Source organism: Homo sapiens, chromosome 19 (assembly GCF_000001405.40).
Source record: "Homo sapiens chromosome 19, GRCh38.p14 Primary Assembly".
Classification (NCBI taxonomy): domain Eukaryota; kingdom Metazoa; phylum Chordata; class Mammalia; order Primates; family Hominidae; genus Homo; species Homo sapiens.
The window spans coordinates 33,582,553-33,583,566 of record NC_000019.10 but is presented as its reverse complement, the minus strand read 5'-3'; the positions used below and the strand labels follow the sequence as shown (position 1 = coordinate 33,583,566).

Below are 1,014 nucleotides of genomic sequence, written 5' to 3'. Positions count from 1 at the left end.
GCAGGAGGTTTACACTGATGGCTCTCAGGAGAGACCCCCTATAGGGAAGCGGGGAGGGCGAGGGTGGGCAGAGAGGGAAGGCGACCCCCCAGTGCAGTTACAGCTAGGCCTCAGCCAGGCCTGGGGGAGCCCTGGAGCTGGACACGCCTTCAGAGTTGCCCCAAACTGAGGTGAGGGGCAGGGCTTTGTACTCCCACATCAGCCAGTCGCTGGATACAGGATCACCCCACAGGAGGCATAAACTTAGGAAAGGTGCTTCCCGGGTGCCAAGGGAATTCCCAGGGAAGAAGGCAGGGATATTCCCAGCTCCCATGGGGATAATGGCCATGATGGTTAATTTTAGGCATCAACTTGTCTGGATTAAGGGACACCTAGACGGCTGGGAGAGCATTATTTCTGGTTGTGTCTGAGAGGGTGTTTCCAGAGGAGACTGGTATGTGAGTCAATGGACTGAGTTGGGAAGATCCGCCCTCAATGTGGGTGGGTACCACCAATTGGCTGGGGGCCTGGATAGCACGAAAAGGCAGAGGAAAGGTGAATTCACTCTCTTTCCTGGAGCAGACACATCCCTACTGTCCTGCCCTGAGACATCAGAACTCCAGGTTCTCCAGGCTTTGAACTGTAGGACTTGCACCAGTGGCCCCCAGCCCAGGTTCTCAGACCTTCAGCCTCGGACTGAGAGTTATACCACCAGCTTTCCTGGTTCTGAGGCTTTCAGACTTGGAGTGAGTCACACTCCCAACATACCCGGGTCTCCAGCTGGCAGGTGGCTGAGGATGGGAAACCTCAGCCTCCATAACCACGAGACAATTCCCCTAAAAAATCTCATGTAGATAATAGATACATACGTACATACATACAGATCTTTTGTAGAGATGGGGGTCTCACTGTGTTGCCCAGGCTGGTCTTGAACCTGGGCTCAAACGATTCTCCCACTTTGGCCTTCCAAAGTGCTGGGATTATAAGTGTGAGCCACTGTGCCTGACTTCTGTTATCTCTCTCTCTCTCTCATGT

General features: G+C 53.6%; 1 annotated feature.

Moving 5' to 3' along the window:
- Positions 1-502: an enhancer, noted in NCBI's record as "H3K4me1 hESC enhancer chr19:34073971-34074472 (GRCh37/hg19 assembly coordinates)". NCBI's record gives its function as "activates a minimal SCP1, AML or CMV promoter by ChIP-STARR-seq in primed H9 embryonic stem cells {active_cell/tissue: H9 hESC(primed)}" and the evidence as "EXISTENCE:reporter gene assay evidence [ECO:0000049][PMID:30033119]".